The 23070-nt window shown below is 34.4% G+C and overlaps 1 protein-coding gene and 1 pseudogene across 1 annotated transcript, besides 2 other annotated features; both read left to right on the top strand.

Moving 5' to 3' along the window:
• Positions 7962 to 8766, top strand: OR10AF1P (olfactory receptor family 10 subfamily AF member 1 pseudogene; annotated as a pseudogene).
• Positions 11124 to 11624: an enhancer, noted in NCBI's record as "H3K27ac hESC enhancer chr11:55712737-55713237 (GRCh37/hg19 assembly coordinates)". NCBI's record gives its function as "activates a minimal SCP1, AML or CMV promoter by ChIP-STARR-seq in primed H9 embryonic stem cells {active_cell/tissue: H9 hESC(primed)}" and the evidence as "EXISTENCE:reporter gene assay evidence [ECO:0000049][PMID:30033119]".
• Positions 11625 to 12125: an enhancer, noted in NCBI's record as "H3K27ac hESC enhancer chr11:55712236-55712736 (GRCh37/hg19 assembly coordinates)". NCBI's record gives its function as "activates a minimal SCP1, AML or CMV promoter by ChIP-STARR-seq in primed H9 embryonic stem cells {active_cell/tissue: H9 hESC(primed)}" and the evidence as "EXISTENCE:reporter gene assay evidence [ECO:0000049][PMID:30033119]".
• Positions 20485 to 21429, top strand: OR5I1 (olfactory receptor family 5 subfamily I member 1). The gene has a single exon (NM_006637.1). The coding sequence runs from the start codon at positions 20485 to 20487 to the stop codon at positions 21427 to 21429; it is 945 nt and encodes a 314-aa protein (NP_006628.1).
• The last annotated feature ends 1641 nt before the right edge of the window (positions 21430 to 23070 follow it).

Raw genomic sequence — 23070 nt, 5'->3', positions numbered from 1 at the left:
AGAAGCAGCCTGCCTGAAAAATCACAGCTACAGGCAAAAATAGAGCAGCCTGGAAAAAAGTCAGACTGCACCTGCACAGATAAGAAGCACAGAAGCCTTTTGTTCTTTGTGTAACTGGTTTCCCCCCGCCCCCTTTTCAGGTATATACAGAGTGGGCTCCGTGGGAAGTTACACAGGGAGGAAGGGGGTTTACCTAAAACAAACCCACAGTTATACAAACAAGAGAAGCGGCGCTTTGTGCCTGCCTAGAGACATACCACAACTACATAGATAAGGGGGAGTTGTGCAGACAGATTTTCAGATTAAAAAAAAAGTCACTCAAACAGCTACAGAACTGAGAGGAGTTTCTTATAAAAGCTTTTGGATTCAACTGTAAAAACAGAAAAAAAACCACTTGAGCTTCCCTCTCCCCTGCAGAGAGCTTTCTTCTTTCACTCATTAAACTTTTGCTCCAACCTCACCCTTTGCGTCCACACTCCTTAATTTTCTTGGTGGTGAGACAACGAGCTCGAATAACACCTTAGACAATGAGAACAGTGACCTCGACCTGCTTCCTTGTCTAGCCATTCATATCTCAATATTTCCCCTAAAAATCATAGTGTAAATTCTTATTCCTCTCATCCTTTATATCATTATCATTAGCTTTTTAAAAATATGTCAACTAGTAAAGAGTACTGTATATGTTTGCTTTTTGGATACTATTTGTTGAATAACTATAGGCTTATATGTTTAGATGTTGTATATAATCTATACCTTCATGTTGCCTCTTCATGATTTAAAGAATAACCCACAGTAAAGACTAACAATAGAACCTCAGCCAAAGTGTTTCTACACTCATGATTCCAAATAGTACACAGAATGTTTAGGTTTCAATAAAAAAGAGATCTGTGTTATAATCTGAGTTGTAAACACCACACTTAAGTGAAAAGATGTTGAAATATGTATTTCTGCAATTGAGACCAAGACCAAGAAAAAGATGCTCCTTTTTACAGTTTTTATTAAATAATTCTACTAGAGATGGTAGATTATGCATTTTAAGAAAGAAAAAAGTCTGAGAAATTGGAAATAAATCTAATCACTGACAGAAGAGATAAACATATATATATAGAACATCTTTAAGAATCTAAAGATTATTAGAGTTAATAAATGAGTAAACATGTTTTCTCCATACAGTCAAAGATGTCAATTTCCCCCAATATGAACCACAATTGATTAAAATACAATGAAATCCTATTCTCTTTGTGTGTGTGTGTGTGTGTGTGTGTGTGTGTGTCTAATTTATCACCTGCTTCTAAAACTGTGGAAAGAAAACAGCTAATAGTAGCCAAGGCCTCTTGAAGAAGAGTAAAGAGGGAGGAATCACTTTACTGGGCATCAGGACTTATTTCAATATTATTTCAATGCTGCAGAAATTCTGACAGTGTGATATAATTTTACAGTACATAAAGGAACAGATGGCACATAATAGAGAGCGCAAAGCCCACTCAGCACATGGACATACTTAAATATGAAAAAAGTAGCGCTGCAGATTACTGTAGAAAGTATGTTTATTTAATAAGTTTTACTAAACTAATTAAATGTTTATGTATAAACAGGAAAGAAAAAAGTTCACCCTTACTTCACACTGTTTATTAAAACCATAATTTCAGGTAGCTTGTAAACCTAAATATGAAATATAGTACAATAAATATTTCAAAGCTTATGTATCTTATTTTCAGGATTTTGGCATGAGAAAAATATTTTAATACAGTTATTTGCTATAGTGGAAAACACTGATAAATTGAACTTCATTGGTTAAGAAGTTATCTTTCTCCAAAGAAGTAATTCAGAATAAAATTTTACAGTGCAAAGTGATTAAATCCACCATACTTAACGTGCTACCAATCAAAAACACAGAAAATTTGGGAGAAAAATTGTTAAGAAACATGAAGGGCACTTCACAAATGGCCAAGGAAAAAAAGACAATAATCCATTACTAACCAAATGATAATTAAAACCAGATGAGATCCATAATACTCCTATCAGGATGACTCAAATGAAGAGGGAATGATACAGAGAAAGAGAGGGAAAAGAACAAAAAGACATTGACCACACTGCTTGTATATAAGATGTGAAACAATGGGGACTCATACAATTCTGGCATGTAAATTGGTCCACCAATTTAGCAACCAGCCTGCCCCCATCCAGAGAACCCAACTGCTACGTCTCTACCCAGCAGAAATCTAATTGCTAGGTGTCTACCCAGCATGGAAGGGAACTCCTGCTAGAATGCTCATCTTAGCATGACTAAGAGTTGCAAATACTTATCGAATTAGAATGGAAAAATGATTGTGATAATTTCACAGAAGGGAAAATTAGAGAATGATCAAAATGTACAAACACAAACATGTACAACATCGATGAAGTGTATCATTGAGCAAAACAAGCTATATTCACTGTATATTTCCTTTTAAATAAGTACAGAAGTAGACAGTATATAAGGATGTCTGATAATTACAACACCATATGACTATATGTATATTATGCATATATAAAAAATATATTTTAGAATTAAAGTTATATAATGTAAATTAATATTTTAATATAAATTTTTATTACATAATATATAATTATATATATATTCCTACCTTTGATTTCCAAATTTTCTTTTACAAATGTATCATGTTTATAATGGAGAGAAACATCCAATACTCTTTAACATTTTTATATCATGTTGCTATTTTTGCCTGAAACAATTCAGTAAAGCAAATTTCCTTTTATCTTCTCCAAAAAATAACAATTGACAACAAAATATGACCTAAGTAATGTGACACTATTGAACCATTTTGAGAAATGAATAATAATTTCTATGAATAGATACACTTAAAAACCAAGCCATATATAATTTCCAACATTTAACACAAAGAAATAAACGACTTCACATCTAATTAAGATATACTAGATCACAGTAAGCTAGTGTTTTTTCTGGAAGCACTGGAAAAATCTGAAGAAATTATAATACTCATATTTAGTGGCATTCACTAGCTATGGAAGAAAAAACAATAGATAACACTGTTAAATTCAAGGCTGTCATTCAGAGAGAGAGAACTCACAAGATGGTTCGCACTTAGTTGGTTTGCTCTTTTTCAAGTATAAACAATACTCCAACATCCTGTTACTGAATAAATATTCATATGCATGCATGATTTATGGATTGATTCAAAGAGTAGACACACTATGATGTTAGTCAAAGATGCCATATTCCTACCTATATGTGGAATACATAATGTATAGGAGAATATCTTATAATTTTTTTAAACTGCATCAATGTACAGATTAATTTTTTATGAATGAAGTTGAGTATTTGTACCTATGATTGAGGGATAATTTTCCTCCCTTTTCTGTGAACTGTTACTTAAATTGTTTGGTCTACTTTACTATTTGTATTTTGGACTTTTCCTGGATATTTGAAGCATTGTTCAGAAGGGCAAATAGCACTTTACTGGAGATATACTTAGTATTTTTTTCATTCTATCAATACTATTTTACTTTACTTTAGGGCTCATTTCTTTTAACCATGCAAAATTATTTATTTTTACACATTTTTTTAAATTGTGTTCTACATTCTAACATTTGGGTCATTGGTAGATTAACTTTCATTGCTCCAGAATTATAAAAATTTTTGCTTAGATTGCTATTATTTGCTTTCATTGTTTTACTTTCTAAAATACCTAAACTTGTATATGATTTAAAGTTTATCATATTGTAGTATGAACTATGAATAAAATGTGTTTTTTTTCCTGAAATGTTCCCCAGGTATCCCAATAACGTGTATTTTAAATGTCAAAATTTCATAAATTTGGTATGCATTATTTATTAGGCAATACATTCTCATTTGTATTTGAGTCTTTTTTTTCCTTGGTTTCCTATTCTATGGCATCAGAAAATATCTCTATCTATGTCAGTACTACACTGTCCTTACGTTGAGACTTTAGAAATCTTTTTTCAGCTTAGCTACCTGTTACCTGTGCGCCTGAAATAGTTCAGCTATGGCTGGCATCTCAATATTCTGCTTTGCTTGGACACGTCTGGCTCCCCTTTGAGGTATCACTACCTGTTCCTCACCTCCCATGGTCTCTGGCACATGGCTCCTGATACTTTGTAATAAACTTTCCTGATTCCTATTTGTTATCACAGTAATATAGAAGTTCCTCTCTTGGAAATATTTTCTATTAATTATCAAAACCACTAGAAATAACCATTTACTAAATATATAATACGAAGCAACATTGATTAGTGACATGAGAAACCCGACTTCAAGACAAGATTCTTAAACTACCTAATTCAGGAAAAAAAAAATTGTTATTCACAAATTGAAGCCTGGAAGAGACAGAGAGCTTTCCTGGTGTCTTTACCACTATCTCAGCTGGACTTATTCCAGATTTTGATTTTATCCTAAGTAAAGATTTGTTTTTTGTAACAGATTGTTACAACTGTTACACAGGCTTACCACAAATCTGGATCAGGGAAATCATTTTAGGAAGACAAAATTACAAATAAAACATATTTAAGTGCTCAGTTTAATAGGAACAGAGGCTCCATATTAAGTAGAGTAAAGCAGTAACTGGGAAAAATTAAATAAAGCAATTTAGTGGATGCAAAAGATACACCGAAATTTTAATTATAAATCAAAAATTTTAATGTGTCAGGCAGGAGAGGTCCTAAGGTAGAGATAACTGCTATAGTTTTATTTAAAGAGCGTTTTATGTTTAGAAAGAGTGGAATGTTTTCAAAGTGGGTTGAATATGTTTGATGTACAAGTGCTTCACCAAAAGTAATTTAAATATCTAAATATTTAAATCCTCTACAGTGAGAAAAACATCAGCATCAACCTATATAAGAAAAGTAAATATGAACTGTTTTATACTGATCTGAAGGTTCTGTTTATAATATTTGAAAATTCAAAATTAATATTTAACTTGTAGCAGGAAATGTATTATTATGTTAAAGCAGTTCTAACGTATCCTTCCTGATGTATAAAGAAAAATGATGTTAGAAATCTTATCTGAAAAGCTGTTTTAGGGGGAACAATTGTGAGGCACAAACAGTGCACAACATTTAACATAACGGGCTAATATCTTTTCTCCTCATGCCCAGCACACCTACTCACAGGTATCATCTATGCCACATAAGCTATTTCTGTTTCCCCCAGCCATACTCCCTTTATTATTTCAACCTGGATCCATGTTCCCAGGCTACTTTTTCTGAATAAAACTCTCCTATATTCTCCACTTAGTATCATACCAACAGATACTGTTTTCTTCCTCTAAGTGCAATAAGTCATTCTCTCATTTTGTTATTGTTGTTGTTGTTAAACTGCCTAACAACATGAATGCTATGATAAGGATAGCTATGGTCAAATAAAGTGATGAGAGGGAAATGGACAGTTGGCATAGACAGGTAAGAATTCAGGAGATAAGGCAATCGATGATATAGTGCTACTGAATCATGATAGAGAAAAATTACAGAGAAGTTGTACTAGTCTGTTCTCACGCTGCTAATAAAGATATACCTGAGACTGGATAATTTATACATGAAAGAGGTTTAATTGACTCACAGTTCCACATGGCTAGGGAGGTCTCACAATCATGGCAGGAGGCAAATGAGGAGCAAAGTCACGTCTCACATGGCGGCAGGCAAGAGAGCTTGTGCAAGGAAACGCCCATTTTACAAAACTATCAGATCTCGCAAGAGTTATTCACTACCACAAGAATAGTAAGGGAGAAACCACCCCCATGACTCATTTATCTCCATCAGGTCCTGCCCTTGACACATGGGGATTATTACAATTCAAGGTGAGATTTGGGTGAGGACACAGCCAAGCCATATCAGAAGTAAAATAGAATTTTCAAGAAAAGTAAATAAACAGATCATATGGAAAAGCTGTGGGCCTTCAGCAGTTGCAGTGCTTATGCTGAGTAGGGTAGTTTGGTTCATCCTGGGCTGTTTTCAGAGATATAATGGCATAATTCTTTTTATTTATTTATTTATTTATTCATTTATTTATTTGAGATGGACTCTCGCTCTGTAGCCAGGCTGGAGTGCAGTGGCATGATCTTGGCTCACTACAACCTCCACCTCCTGGGTTCAAGCAATTCTGCTGCCTCAGCTTTCTGAGTAGCTGGGACTACAGGTGTGCGCCACCATGCCCAGCTAATTTTATTTTATTTGTTTTAGTAGAGACGGGATTTCACCATATTGGCCAGGATGGTCTCGATCTTTTGACCTTGTGATCCGCCCTCCTTGGCCTCCCAAAGTGCTGGGATTACAGGCCTGAATCACTGCGTCCTGCCCATAATGGCATAATGCTAAAGAAACTTCAGGGACCCGGCGCAGTGGCTCATGCCTGTGATCCCAGTGCTTTGGAACTTCAAGATGGGACTCTTGAGGCCAGAAGTTCAAAGCCAGCCTGGGCAACTGAGACCCTGTCTCTGTAAAAAAACATGGAGAAGGAGGAGAAAGAGGAGGAAAAAGAAGAAGGAGAAGAAGAGGAAAAGCCAAGAGTGGTGATGCAGGATTCATAGTTCTAGCTATTCTGGGGACTGAGGCAGAAGGATCACTAGAGGCCAGAAGTTCAAACTTACAGTTAGCTGCTATGATTGTGCCACTGGATTCCAGCCTGGATGACAGAGTGACACCCTGTTTTCAAAAAATAAAAAATAAAAGTAAGAAAATCAAGAAACTTTAGAGGCATGTGTACAGTGATAAGCTATTGGTTCTGACCTGGAAAAGTGGGAAGTACATGAATAGTTACATTCTTATATTGGAAAAAATTGCAGTTATTATAAAAATTGATGTGGATGTCCTGATACATTTAGAGAACAAGTATCCATCTATAGAGGCAAATTGAAAAGCACATGTTAAATTTACCACTTACATGGATGAAATACCAGCAAAAACCACAAGAAAAAAACCTAACTGAATGGAACTAAATTGATGAAACTTATTCTCTTGGGCTGTGCTGATGTTCCCCATCTCCAGTGGTATTGATGTAGAATTTTTCTTGGCCCCTTCACTGGACTCAGGGAAGAAACACCCCACCTATTCGGTCTGCTGTGCTCAACTCCTTGCTGGAGGGAACATGTGAGCGAGCAAGTGCAGGATCCATCCAGTCACTCTGAGTGTCAACAGAGAAGCAAGCACCATGCAGGACCCGTGGCTAGACCAGGCATGTTGCCTCAAGGGGAATGTGGCAGCACCCAGGTGAGAGTGCCTGTGACCCCAAAGCCCCAGAGAGGGTGTTACAGTGCTCCTTTAATTCTACCATCCACGGATAGCAGTATGTTAGCAGCTCAGTTGGTCCCTTGCCTCATCACGTGGGGTGGCTGCCCTCCACTGGTGAAGCAAAGGGCTAGTGTGACAGCCTTTTCTGGTATGGTGAGTCCTGACTCTTGTCCAGCATCTGGAAGAATGAGGCACATGGTTCATTGAAGGATGGTGAACCTGGAGAACTTTATTGAGTGATGAAAATGGCTCTCAGGGGAGAGGGGAGCTGGAGAGGGTACGGGAAGGGCAGGTCATCTTCCCTGAAATGAGGTTGTCTCTTCCCCAAAGTCAAGCCAGCTTCTTCTCTACCAAGTAACTCTGGGGTCTTTATAAGCACAGTACGGGGAGTGTGTGCTGATTGGTTTGTGAGTGTGCAAAAGAGGTCAAAGCAAAGACATCACTCAAATGTGGGCACAACAGTGTAGAAAACCAATTAGGAAAGGGAAAGTATATGTAAAATAGGTGAAGTATGGGGATCAATCAGTGGAAAGTATGCCAAACAGGAAGACAAGTTCTCAATCCAGTCCAAGGACTTAACTTGTAGCTTGGCTTTCAGGCTTTAAACTGTCTTTGGCTTGGAGGTGGGGTTTCACAGGGTACCTGCCCCTATCTGCCTAGGCATTTGGCTACCTTCTGTAGCTATTAGACAGTGGTACCATTGTTCTAATAACAAAGCTGGACCTTAGTCTCCAAACACCTATTTTTTTTTGGCAATTTTTCCTTCTTAGAAATTTGTTATCTGTCAGTTACTCTCCCAAGAATGCTCATTAATCTTGGGACCCAGAGTGGAATAACCTCTTTAGTTGCCTGGGCTACACAAATGTGCCACTTTCTTATACTGGGAGCCACAGAGTGCTTCTTTCTGGCTGTGATGGCCTAAGACCGCTATGTGGCCATTTGTAACCCTCTGCACTATCTTCTCTTCATAAACCATGAGGTCTGTACCCAGATGGTGGCTGGCTCCTGGATCACTGGAACTCCTGTCTGGATAGTGCAGACATTCCAGGTTTTCTCTTTGCCATTTTATGGTTCCAAACAAATCAAGCACCTGTTCTGTGACATTACCCCAACACTTACACTGTCCTGTGGGAACATGTTTTTGAATGAGATGAATCTCTGTATAGGTACTGTGTTTCATGTCCTGGCTCCATGTCTGTTGATATTTATCCCTGGCGGCAAAATTGTCTGCACAATCTATAAATGGCCATCAGCTACAACTACGAGTTGTGTCAAAGTTTTCTCCATCTGTTTATCTCATCTCATAATTGTGGCATTGTCATTTGGATAAGGCTTCATTACATACTTAAGACCCCAAACCCGTCATTCAGCAGGAACTGACAAAATGCTTTCTCTTTTTCGTACTATTGTGACTCCATTATTAATTCCATGACATATAGTCTAAGGAATACCAATGTGTAATGGTCTTGAAAAAAAAATCACTATCATGATCTTGTTTTCTTATATATCTAAATTGAAATTTCAAAAGATATATGTTTTTAGCTGTATTGGATTTCTTATCTGTATCTAGAGTGGTAAGTATTTTCAAATTAAACTTATTTTTAATTTTGAGAGATGTTTCTATCTTAGGTTATAACAGCAATGTATGTGTCAACAAATAGCAAATCATTCCACTGGTAATTTTATAATTTTTTTGTGCAATTTCTTCTTTTAGTAAAATCTTTTGACAAGGACTGATGTAATAGACTCAGTTGTAATAGGAACTCTATTATATGCTGTCGTGGATATCATATCATGCATTTCCATAGATTCTTAACAGTCCTTTATAAGGCAGGTTGAAATAGATGTTATATGCATATATACACACACTTACATACATTTTCACCTAGCATCGACTGTCCAGAGAAATCACTTCTTAGGGAAAAAGTACCTTTTTTTGGTAATGTACTTTCACAAATGATGTTGTTATATAAGAGCAGTAAATATTAAGCATAATTTATGTATAAATCAGACTAAACATTTCTACATGCTATAACTCTGTAACTTGATAAAATATAAATTTTATTAAAATATATGCATATAATAAAAACTTGAAGAAATAAGTGTGGAGAAATTAACAATTTTAATTGAATATTGACAATTTTTTTTCTAAATATATTTTCCTGGAGATGATACAGTGATAGGAAAATTAGAAAAGATAAAATAAGTTTTATAAGAATATCTACTATAAAATAAAAGATACCACACATGTACCTTGTACAACACATATATACACAGCAGTCAACAGACATAGGAAAAATGCTCCAAATCACTAATCATCACAGAAATGCAAATAAAAACCGCAATGAGATACCATCTCACACTAGTCAGAATGGCTTTTGTTAAAAAGTCAAAAAACAACAGATGTTGGTGAGGCTGCAGAAAAAAAGTGAACTCTTATACAATGTTGGTGGGAATCTAAATTAGTTCACCCACTGTGAAAAGCAGTTTGGAGATTTCTCAGAGAAATTTGAACTACCATTTGACCCAGCAATTCCACTACTGGATGTACCTCCAATAGAAAACAGATTGTTCTACCAAAAAGACACAAGCACTTGCATGTTCATTGCCACACTATTCACAACAGCAAAAACATAGAATCAGCCTAGATGCCTGTCAACACTGGATTGAATAAAGAAAATGTGGTCCATATACAATATGGAATACTACACAGTCATAAAAAGAATGAGATCATGTCCTTTGCAGCAACATGGGTACAGCTGAAGGCCATTATCCTAAGCAAATTAGTGCAGGAACAGAAAACCAAATATTGCATGTTGTCACTTATATGTAGGAGCTAAACATTGGGTACTCATGGACATAAAGATGGAAATAGACACCGGGAAATACTAGTGAGGGGAAGGTTTGAAAAACTAACTGTTGCCTACTATGCTCACTACCTGGGTGATGGGACCATTAATACTGCAAATCTCAACATCATGTGATATACCCAGGTAACAAACTTGCACATGTATCCCTGAATCTAAAATAAAATCAAAGAAAAAGAAAATGATGAATGAAAATATAATAGTATTCATTATAGATAATATAGAGTAAAATATTCTTTTACTTTTTGTTTTATAGAAAATTTTCAGTATACTACAGTTAACCTGTGTTATCATTGTAATAAGTAAAAGCTAACAATAAATATTGATTCTTTGTTGGTAAAGAAAATGGTAATAGTTGCTTGGGCTATAACCCTATTAATTTTGATATAATTAAACTTGTTCTTTTTTAGTATTTCATGTTTTTCTAATGAACTTTTCATATATGAAAGCAATAAATTTCTGAGAAGCCACTATCACTAGGATTTATATTTTAAAAAGACTGTTACAGAGTTTGCATCTGCTTGAAAAGCTTTTGCCCATAAGTAAATAAAGTCAGTTCTGATCACATTTATTTGTACATACCTAACTCTAGCTAGATAGGCCCTAAATATAATAACAAATACCCTTATAAGAGGGTTGCAGAGGGAAATTTGACCCATAAAAATCAGAAGAAGGCAATGTGGTCACAGAGGTAGAGATGAGAATGATGAAGACACAAGCCAAGGAATGCCAGTATTCACCAGAAGCTGGAAGAAGCAGAGAACAAGTTCTCCCCTGGACCCTCTGGCCACAACACAACACTGTGGACACCTTGACTTTCCATAAGTAAAATTCATTTCCCACTTTTAGTCTGTAGACTTGTAAAATAAGAGATTTATTGTTTTAAGCCATTAAGTTGGTGGTGTTTGGTTATAGCAGCTGTAGGAAACTGATGTTCATTTTAGTTCTATCCCCCAAGAAATAGGATTCTGATAATTCGGATGATTCTGATGTTAATTCTGTTTATAAATAACTACAAGAACAGTTTTTATATTTTATTTTCACGTTGAAAATCAGTCAGATTTGCTTCAGCCTCGAAGAGCGTGTTTATGTAAAATTAAATGAGCACGGGCAGCGAGCTGCACTATTTTTTCCTAAATGTGAAAAGGTTAAACTGCTTTCTTAGAAAGGATGACTTAGAGAACAATAACAGCAAGAGCCCAGATAACAAGAGCAAGACACACACACACACATATGCAATTATTAGCAGGCCATGAAAACTGAAAATTTGCGGGGGGTTGGGGGGCTGGGTGTTGAACAATTGTAGCAGACCAATGACTTCTTTGCATTGTGTATTTTAAGACGTCCTGCCAGCAGGTCTTCTTTTCCTGCTGACTTTGATGGAAAAGGCAGTAATGTTGGGGAACAATGAGACAGGGAACTGAGGACAGCGGTTAGGAACTGAGGGCCAAGCCAGACCCAGCGATTCTTGCCTGTAGTCCCAGCTACTCCAGGGGCTGAGGTGGGAGAATGGTTTGAGTTCAGGAGTTTGAGGGTACTGTGATTGCACCTATGACTAGCCACTGCACTCCAGCCTGGGCAATTTTGTCTGCTACAAAAACCGGAAAACAAACAAACAGTAACAAAGGAACTGAGGGCCACATCCTCCAACCAATACTCAGAAAAATGAGGCTCTTATTTCTACAATGGCAAGGTAATTTGGCCAACAATCTCATGGATCATGGAAATAAATCATTTCCCAATCTTGCATTGAGATCATGCCCAGCCCCAGGCAAGTCTTGTGGAGGGCCCAGCTAAGCTGCGCTAAGACTCCTGCCCCACAGTAACTGTGGTGTTGATAAACAGGTATTATTTCCATCCTCTAAGTTTTTGACAATTTGTTACTTTCAGAAAGTACATTAAACTGTAATGTTCTCTCTTTTTGTAAAGTTCTCGGGTTTTGGTTTTAGAGTTATACTGGTTTCATACAAGTATGAAAATATACTATTTGTTTGATTTTTCATAATTTGAAATTGTTTACTGCTAAAATATTTAGAACTCACCATAGAAGTTTGGGTGGCTGGTAATATGCTTGTGAGACAGTTTTTAAGGATATATATTTTTCTGAATAGAGGATAATAGTTTAAGTTTTAAATTTTATCTTTTCAAGTTGAAATTCCGATGTGTCAAAATCCATTATTTTGTGATGAGAAATCAACTATCATTTTAATGTTTGTTTCATTTGATGGTGGTCTATTTATAGCTGTTGTTGTTTTGCTTTTTTCCCTTTCTTAACTATTATTTACCTAGATGAGATTTATTTTGCAATTATTATCCCTTCTGTACTTTGGGAATCCTAGAACCAAGAATTTATGTATTTTATCAATTTTAGTCTCAGATACTATTTCTTCAACCGTTATTAACAATATTAGTTTGCCCACTCTCACAATTATATGTGTGCTAAGTCTCTTGATATTTTGCCAGATAATTAAAGTCTTGGATCTGGGATCTTTTTAAGTTTACTATTATTTTTTCTCTGTGCATCAGATTGGAGAACTTATATTGACTGATATACAGGTATTTATTTATCTATTTTAATATGTTCAGCCTAATATTAGGTCTATTAAGTAAACTTTTTATTCCTCATGTTATTTTCACTTTTAGAATTTCTATGTGGTTCTTTCTTTTAGTTTTTAATTATCTGCTAAAATTTTCCACCTGTTAACAAATGCTATTTACTTTTTTCTAGTTGTTTTAGTTTATTTATCACAGTTATATTTTACTTCTTTATCTAATCATTATTACATCTTAATTATTTGTGTTATTATCATATTAAAATTTTTTTCTTTATTAGGGAACATTTCCTGCTTCTATATGTATCTCCTATATTTTTCTTCATTTTATGCTTGATATTTTGTGTAAAACAAGAGTGAAGATTCAGGTAGATAATATTTGTCTTCAGAATCATGTACCTTTCTCTGACTAGCTATTAGAATGAGGTGCTAAGTCAAATCTGTAGCTGCATTTTCTCTAGGCTTTGTTGCAGTTTCAATCAGGATTCCTTTACCCACTGACTCTAAATATTGTATTATCTATACATAGTAAAGTGTTAAAGATATTTTCTTCTCCAGTGATTTGTCTGGTAATAATAATCTTGTCAGTTCTTTCATGCTTTTGAATAAATTAAAAATGGCTTCATACAACATTTTTATTTGTTTCCAGTAAGAGTGTTGGTATGAGTATCATAGGGTGCCATATTTCCAAAAGAAGAGTCCTCTTACAAGGTATTTTGTTAATTCATGTGAACTAGATTTTGCTTTGACCATTTCTCCAGGACTGATTTATAGTTAAGTTACCCTTACCTTTTACTAGTTTGATATGTATCTAGAATATAATTTCAATTTTAATTAAATTACCTTTTAACTAGTCCATCAGAAAATTAATTCATCCTATAGAGGTATTGATAACAAGGGCAGGGCTTGTATAGAATTGGGTCTTTTTGTTTGAGGATGGTTTACTGGGACCTGAGGATAAGAGTATCACGTAAAATAGAAGTGATAGGCTATTAAAATAATAGAAGAGTTTCTTAAAAGAAAATAAATCTATCTATACACACACACACACATATATATATACACACATACACACACGTATACACAGTGAGAAGCAGAATACTGTTAAGAGAACTTTATTACAAGAAATATCTCCTAAACCCTGAAAAATTAGGGGATTTTTCAGGATATAAACTTGTTTACTAAACAGGTGGTTATGTAATTGTCTCTGGTGCCATCTAGTGTGTGGAAATTGTAAAACTCTGTAGGTTATGTAGCAAACGGACAGCACTTTGAGATCATTTATTCCTAAGCAGTCCCAATGTGAAAGAGTAATTGCTATAGAAAACCAGTTTCTTAAGGCTGGTTCAAGGTGGGTATTCTAAGTATTTGGATAGCAGCATATATTTTTCTGATAACCTTCTATACCACATTAGTTGCAAGTTTCAATATCTTAATAAAAACCCTCTTGACTCACCTAACTTTCCATCTGGTTCCCTGTATTCTTATAGTCAATGTACTGTTAAATCCATTCAATAAGTTGTTCATTCTAGATATTGCATTTTTCAATTCCATTTAACACTTTTCTATGGCTTCCAATTTCTTTGGGGATCTCTTCACTCTTTTGTCATTGTCCAATTCTGTTTTAAAATAGCATTTTCTTAAATATATTATAATTAAAAACAAAAAAAAGTTGCTTGCCAATTTCAATTTGTGAGTCAACATGCATTTCAGCTTTTTAAATTCATGCTTATTCATTATAAGGACTTGCCTATTTTTATATTTAGTAATTTGTTTCTTATTGCATGCCAAATAGTGACTACAAAAAAAAAAAAAAAGATATTCCCGAAGATTTCTTTCACCAGAGCGTTCAATCCTCTCTGTAATGAAGTTAAGGCTGATAAACTTAATCCGATCAGAAAACAATTAGGGTTTGATCATACTTATTGTTTCGGTAAGGTGCGGTATACCTCCAGTTCACCCTATGTCTAAGGCATGTTCCTTCCAGCTTGCACTTAAGAACTTGGACTTTCTATGGCTCCTCAACAAGAAGAGACTACAAGAATGTCCACTCTTGTGTTTTCAGAGGTTTCTGGCATCTTCAATCTAACATTACACACAGCTTTAAAATTTGGCAGATCTTGTGGAAGGAAGATAACTGTATTTGAGGCCCCACATGTATGCAGTTTGTGCACTCTAATCCCATGCAATTACCGCAATTTCTGCATGTTTTACAGACTCCAACTGATATAGTTTGGCTGTGTCCCCAAGTCACAATTCCTCCTGGGTTTTATATTTTCTTTAATTCTCAGAATGCAAATCCACTGCAGTTCTTTATGTCCTTAACACTAAGAGATTTGAGAGAATACCAGTTTGTTTTTCCAATATTTTCTATGTCTTTAGTTTATTACATGCCAAAATTTGAATTTAAAATATCGTGAATAGGAAGTCCTTCATTTGTTGGAGATCCTCCCATCAGTTTAGGTATTTCAGCACTACATAATTGCCAAAAACTGTGGACAAACCCACGTTCTATCTCTTACTCATACTCATAATTGATAAATACCTGCAGGGACATATGCAGGTCTTCAGCTGACTTCTAACTAGTTATACCTTTTTTTGAATTATACTCATTCTAGTACATGTGATGAGTGTATACATATGATGCAAAATCTAATTCCCCAAATATCATCAAAATAACAAGTTCATAAGAAAGCCATTTATTGTTTACCTTGGTAAGGGCTAATACAACCTCAAAAAGTTTTGACAGTGTCTTGGGGTAAGGAAAGGCAGGAAAATAATTTATTAATAATTGGACATTTGTTTTGAGTTTTTCCAAGCAAAGATTTGATTGGATTAGATCAAGATATGGCAGTCCAAGTTAATGGAAATAGAAGGCAAGGGCTTTGAAGCAAGGAATTGAAACAATCTAGGGAATAAACTTTCTTTCTGCTGATGTTTCTCATTGAATAATCCATGGGGTGTTCAGAAAATATTTGTAATGAGCAGCCAAAATATTTGCCTAGGCAAAATCTCTAAAAAAAAAATAAATAAAAACTAGGGTGTGCGAATGAAAATAAAGGAACTTCAGAGTCATAATAATGCGACTTCAGGTGTGTTTTTCATTCTTACCTTCTAGGTTGTGTATAGGGATAGACAGTTTCAGGTCTCAAAGATAATTATAATTTATTCCTTTTTTTCCCTGTAAATTCTCAGTGGAAGTGATAAACTATAATTAATTATTATATCCTACCTGAAGTGGTAGTCTCATAATTTTTAAAATATCTTTTTAAATAGAGATAACAGAGGCTATTTAATTATGTATATACTATGTATCTTTCTTCTATCAGTAATCCATACATGGCAGAAACCTGATCAGTTGACTATAAACCCGATCAGTTGACTATGCGATTAGCTTATATCAGATAATATAATGTTACATGTACCAGAGCCAAATTATCTTCAGTGTCTTCTCAGACCTAACACTAGCAGCCACTATCGTACTTCTATCTTCCAGTTGATCTGATGTTAAAAAGAAAAATCTCAACTATGTCTATATACCTAAAACCTGTGGTTTTCTAGAATACTTGAATAATAAGTACAATTGACTTATGTCATGTGAAATTTTCCCTTCCATCTTTCCTTGCCCTCCATGTCTCTTGGATACTAAGTCAGGGAAATTTAGAATCACAATAAAGAGTAGTGCAAAGTCCAAGAATTAAATAGGGATTGCAAGTGTTCTTCTGCAGAGACAACGCTACAGATACTGGAGAGAATAGTCTCTTCTTACAACCGTCTTACAGGCTTAGACCTCTGCCCACAGATTCTCATAAATCACTCAACCATTAGAATATTATATTATCACTTTCCTTTCCGAAGAGTAGGATTAGCAAAAGAGAACGGTTACTTTTTTCCTTTAATGAATGAAATTATAAATAATTAATTTTTAAAATTTAAATTTGTGATTTCTAAAGAAGTATATTCAAAAAACTAGATTTACGGAGTAAATTTTTAAAATGTTTTTCAAATAACTTCATTACCAAAATGATAATTACCTCAAAATTTTTTAAATGATAAATTCCTTGTATGAGCATATTATACTAAAATGACAAACTCTCATTTTTTCTTTATAGAGTTAACTTTCAGTTCACCAACCCTATCACTATATTTTCCTAAATCACAAAATAAGTTCAGTATTGTGTGCAGTTATATAGAAGGATCATACCACAAATAAAGAGGAAATATGAATTCAGATTTGAGCTCACAGTAACTGAGATTTTTTTTCAATAGTTAGAATGTACACAGTGGATTGAAGTTGTGAAATTATTTTCCTAAAAAATAATTAAGCTGAGGCTTCTGACCATGTTTTAGTAGGTTCATAAATGGATTTTTGCAATGGATATAAGTTTTAAGAAGATTTCCTCTGTGATACTCCAGATATAGGCATGATAAATAAACCTGCATTATACTGTGAAAATAAAGAGACTATAATTGGTGGGGCTGCACTAATTACAATTAGCTATTAACTACAGTTGTTTGAATGAAGCTATCTTATACAATGTATATCAGAATAATGAAGTTGATGATGACAACCTGTGTTTACTGAGATGACCTTGCCATTGTCCTGATACATTTTGGTACCAGGTGTTATAAAGTCCTCTGTCTTGTCAGAAAACATCTGGTGATACTAAGCTCTACAGAAGCTTTCAATGCCACAAAAATAATTCATTAATTTTCAGTACTAGTAATCATAAATAATATTTTTAGAGTTTCCATGTGGTTTTTGAGAAATTTAAATGGCAGTAGTTACAGTTTTAAATATTTGAACTATTTGTAAAGAACCTCCACAATAAAGACGGTCCTTTGTAGAATGCCAAGTGTTAAAAACAACCTCCTCGATATTACTGAAAATGAAAATTACCTCTTCAAATTAACACAACAGCATTTCCATGAAAATTATGAATGTGTTTCTAGAGAAAATATTTACATTGGCAATAAGCCTAGTAACTATTCTCTAGGAGTCTCTCAGAAATTAACATGCTTGGAATCCTTCAATTACTAGGTCCCCAGTGACATAAGAATTCATGTAAAAGCCCTTGGTTGTATTGGTGAAATTATTCCCTTAAGCAACTTGCAACAGTTCCTTCCTCAGTAAGTAGCTTCTGCGGTTATTGGACTGGCTTTAATCGTGCAAAAAAAAAAAAAATCAACTTTTGTTGGTCTGAGAGCAAGAACCACTGATTTGAGTACAAATAGTTTTGAAAGTACATTTATCATTCAATATTGTACTGACAAGGTAATCTATCTTTTATCACCCTTTCTGATATAGCTTCCACAGGGTCTAAAATGTCTTTTGTTTAAATAAGCCTTTTGTTACTGATAGGAGAACCAAAGCATATCTACCTACCTTATAACTTGAATTAACTTATTTTATAACATAAGATTGTTTTGTTATGTTTGGAAAGAACTTATTGAATCATAGTATGTTAGTAAGATTTATTTGTTAATTCCCTTTTAAAAAGAAGAATCCAAGAATCACTGTCTTTTCCTACCACTATCCTCATGCCTCTTCTCTTCCTTTTAATATTTCTCTAAATAGAATTTTTTGACTATCAGAAGGAATGACCAATGTGAAGTTGCCAAGAATACATGCCCCACATTTTTGGGAAGTATGCGAACCATAGAATGGTCATACTGTTAATATTCTCCCCGTCCTCATGCTTGCTTTCATGGGCTTTGATTTCATACACCCCTGAGTTTGAATTGCACTGGTCAACTACATGTTGAATGACCTTGAGATACTATCCTAAGCATTAATGTTCTCATCCAAAATATGGAGCTAATAAAAAGAATCCTGTTTATAGAGAACCAGTGTATCATGTGGCTTTGGAGTCAGAATTTTGGGTTCTAATCCTGTTTCCATCACATCCTAAATCTCAAATTCTCTCTTTCTTAGTTTCCTTCATCTGTAAGAAAAAGATCATAATGATAGTAACTCCATGGTAATTTTGTTAGTTTTTTGGTGACAATTAAATGAGTTATAGGTGAAGTGTTAAGAATATTGCATTACACATAGTAAGCATTATACAGGTGACAATTATTGTTAGTAAAATTTGACAGGTAGCTCTAGTCATAATCTAAGAATAAAATGGCAGCGTGGCAATCAAAACTAATTTTTGATGTTATCTACTGTATGTCAGTCTCCCTAAAGAATGACACATGGAAAGATAAGTAGGTAGATAAAGGGACAGAAAGGGGGGGCAGAACATTTTCCCTATTTAATCCATACAGAAACACTATGAGATATTTATTATCATTGTTGTAGTATAGATTAGGATAATTTATATTAAGTGGCACAAGGTCACACAGCCCCCATGCAGCCAAGATGGGCATCTAATCAAATTCCTCCTAAATCGAAGTGATGTCTTATATTGTCTAAATACCTTGACTATTTTCAAACAAGCAAAATGAGAATAACCACTGTCCTGCTGTAGTGCTGCATCTCATTCACACGCTTTGAGGTGATAACATAAGGCAGCACTTTGAGCACGTGATTAACCCTTCTGATTATCAATAGGCTTCTCAGTGTTTATGTCATTGGGTAGTTTTATTGCTTACATGAGATAAATAAATTGTCTTTAGCACTGTCATTGTCATAATATCTATTATGTAAATGAGGCAGTGACTCAAATATTTTTAATTCCCATCTTGGCCCTCTCAACATGAACTTTAGAGATTGATGCTTTGCTTGCTTTTTTTTGTTGTTGTTTTGTTTTTTACGTATTTCCAAGTCTATCCTTCATGGTCAAAATCAAATTATTTGTACTTCAAAGTCAAGTTAAAAATTTTTATAATTCTGTAAGTATTTTGAGACCTCAGAAGCAGTGTTTAACAGATTTTTCTGACTCAACACTTTGTATTATACTACCATAACAATAAATGCAACAATTGTTCTTTACTTATAAAATTTAATCAGTGATGATGCCATATATAGTAATGTTATTTAATTGCAAGTTAACATATAACTAAATGTTTTGCTGACTGTACTTGGTCAGTCCACTAATGTTTAATGAGCATTTCCAGGAAGCCAAGGAGTTCGATAAATGCCAGAAGTATTGAAACAAGTAGTTAACTAATTTTATCAGCTTAGTTTAGTATGTGAACAGGGTTTATGGAATTACACTAAGCTCTTTTCTGTCAAAAATATCCTCAGAGCTGGTATTTACTGACATTTGTTTTTATTTCGCTAAAGCTTCTGCTTTACAGTAAAAAAAAAATTAGCCGGCATATTTCATCACACCACTCTATTTACTCAGTCAAGAGACACAGCATACCGGTATCTATCAAATCCTGAAAACAAGAAGCAGATGTTCTAAAATTCTTATTCAAAGGAACACTCTATAAGTCAGTCCATTTTTAATAATATACATATTTTCTTTACTTAATGTGATCATCAGTCTGTTCATTAATTTATTACTTTTTTAATACTCTGGGCCAGTAATTGTTTAATATTTTGGGTGCAAAATGGTAAGCCAAATCAGACATGATCCATGCACATAGGAAGTCAACTGTTCAATGGAAGAAATAGTAATCAAATAAAATATAACCTGCAACCATGAAATATGATATTACTAAATTCTGAAATATATTTCTCAGAGTTTATAGTTCAAAAAAGTTTGAGCTTGCTTTCTTTATCTTATTGCCATTTATTTATTTTTAAACAATAAAATAACTTTATAATTACATCTAATTATTTTTCTTTTTTCATCATTATAGCATTGTAGGGTATTAGAAATTCTCATAAAAGGAAAACAACACAGAAGATGGAATTTACAGATAGAAACTACACGTTGGTCACTGAGTTTATTCTATTAGGTTTTCCAACTCGCCCTGAACTGCAGATTGTCCTGTTCCTCATGTTTCTGACATTGTATGCTATAATTCTGATAGGGAACATTGGATTGATGCTGTTGATCAGGATTGATCCTCACCTTCAAACCCCCATGTATTTTTTCCTTAGCAACCTATCATTTGTAGACCTTTGCTATTTCTCAGACATTGTTCCCAAAATGCTGGTCAATTTCCTCTCGGAGAACAAATCTATTTCCTATTATGGGTGTGCCCTGCAGTTTTATTTTTTCTGTACTTTTGCAGATACAGAATCCTTCATCCTGGCCGCCATGGCCTATGATCGCTATGTCGCCATCTGTAACCCTTTATTGTACACAGTTGTGATGTCTAGGGGCATCTGTATGCGGTTGATTGTCTTGTCATACCTTGGAGGCAACATGAGTTCCCTGGTTCACACATCCTTTGCCTTTATTCTGAAATATTGTGACAAAAATGTTATTAATCATTTTTTCTGTGACCTCCCTCCCCTGCTTAAACTATCCTGCACTGACACAACAATTAATGAGTGGCTCCTCTCCACATACGGCAGCTCAGTGGAAATCATTTGTTTTATCATCATCATCATCTCCTACTTTTTCATTCTTCTCTCAGTCTTAAAGATCCGCTCTTTCAGTGGGAGGAAGAAGACCTTTTCTACATGCGCCTCTCACCTGACTTCAGTGACGATCTACCAAGGGACTCTCCTCTTTATTTACTCACGGCCCAGCTACCTGTATTCTCCAAACACTGATAAAATTATCTCAGTGTTCTACACCATTTTCATTCCAGTGCTGAATCCGTTGATTTATAGTTTGAGAAATAAAGATGTAAAGGATGCAGCTGAGAAAGTTCTAAGATCAAAGGTAGATTCTTCATGAGATAAAGCATCTCAAGATACATCTAATTTCTCAATCACATACTGTAATTGGGAACTTACAACAACCTTACCTGTACACACACACAACCTCTCACACTAGGGATTTTATCAAGCACTTTGTTTAATGCAGCCAAATGAATTTCATAGTCCTAAAATATTTTTAAAATCATTTAAAAGTTTCAAAGTTCCTGCTAAATGCTAGTTATACTACTTTTCAGTTATTACTAGCTTGAGATTTATGCTAAAATCAATTTCATCAAGCCATCTTAAGGGATATAGTAAATATTTCAGAAAAGTATGCATGCATGTACATGTGCGTATCTATCTGTAGAATATCTCAGTTATAAGTGTAGATTACTGGATAACTGGATAAGAAAATAAGTCAGATTGCTTTGATTTATATGCCAGATCTATACTTGGCTAGTGAGTGGCATATTGAATGAGTTGCTTAATTTTTCTATGCCTCATTTATCTGTAAAATGGGATGAATATTGCACATATGCTATTGATTGTTTGATGGTGAACAGAGTTAATACAGTTAAGAGCTGAGAATAGTGCCTGGACATTATATACACTTACATGTTTGTTATAAGATATGTTTTTATAATATCTCACACTAATTAAAATGCATGTAATAAAATAAGATGATAGAGGCTAGAATGTTAGAAAAGCAATCATAAAAAGCCAAATAATATTTTTTAAAATGCAGGTGATAACATGTTGATAACTTTCTACATCCAATGTATCATAAAGCAATTTGGAAACATTTTCTTAGTGGCTTGAGCAATATAGGTTAATTGCAATGCAAAATATTTGTTTTACTATCTCTTGTTTTTAAATACACCAATGTGTTACTGAATGTGAGGAACGTTCTTTGCTGGAATCTCAGAAAAAGAATACTATCTCTAATTTATTACACTATCGTAATTGTATCCTCATAGGGAGATCAATCCAGTACTGTGGTAGAAAACCATGCATGAAATGTGTGTTTGAAAATTCTAATTGAAGGATGTGTAGAAGTATGTGTATTATTACAAAATGTATTTCTGTAACTAATATTGTGTGCTGCAAATCATTATTATGTATGATAACTGTTTACAAGCTATGAAATGGAAATATGAAAGTTTACAGTTATGCAAGCATGTATCATTTTATTTCATTTCACAGATATTGTTTTTTTCTTCACAAATTAAAAGTTCAGGACCACACTGTGTTAAGCAAGTCTACTGGCACCAGTTTTCCAACATTATGTTCTCATATCATGTCTCTGTGTCACATTTTGGTAATTCTTACAATGTCTCAATCTTTACATTATTATTTTATCTATTGTGAAGATCTGTGATCAGTGATCTTTGATGTTACTATTATCATTATTTAGGGGCACAATGGACTGTACCCATAAAAGACAGTGAACTTAATTGATAAATGTTATATACATTCTGACTGCTCTGCCAACTGACCTTCTGGCTCTCTCCCTTTCCTTTGGCCTCCCTATTTCCTGAGACACAACTATATCAAAAGTAGACAAGTTGCAATTAACCTTGCAACGGCCTTTAAATGTTCAAGCAAAAGGAAGTATTGCACATCTCTCACATTAAATAAAGAGTTAGAAATAACGAAGCTTAGTGAGGAAAGCATGGCA

This window comes from Homo sapiens, chromosome 11, assembly GCF_000001405.40.
Source record: "Homo sapiens chromosome 11, GRCh38.p14 Primary Assembly".
NCBI classification, from domain to species: domain Eukaryota; kingdom Metazoa; phylum Chordata; class Mammalia; order Primates; family Hominidae; genus Homo; species Homo sapiens.
Note: the sequence above shows the minus strand (reverse complement) of the source record. Positions and strands in the feature narration are given on the sequence as shown.

What these genes read in the sequence shown, in the direction of transcription:
- OR5I1 (NM_006637.1), top strand. Translation starts at nt 20,485, where the DNA reads ATGGAATTTACAGATAGAAACTACACGTTGGTCACTGAGTTTATTCTA.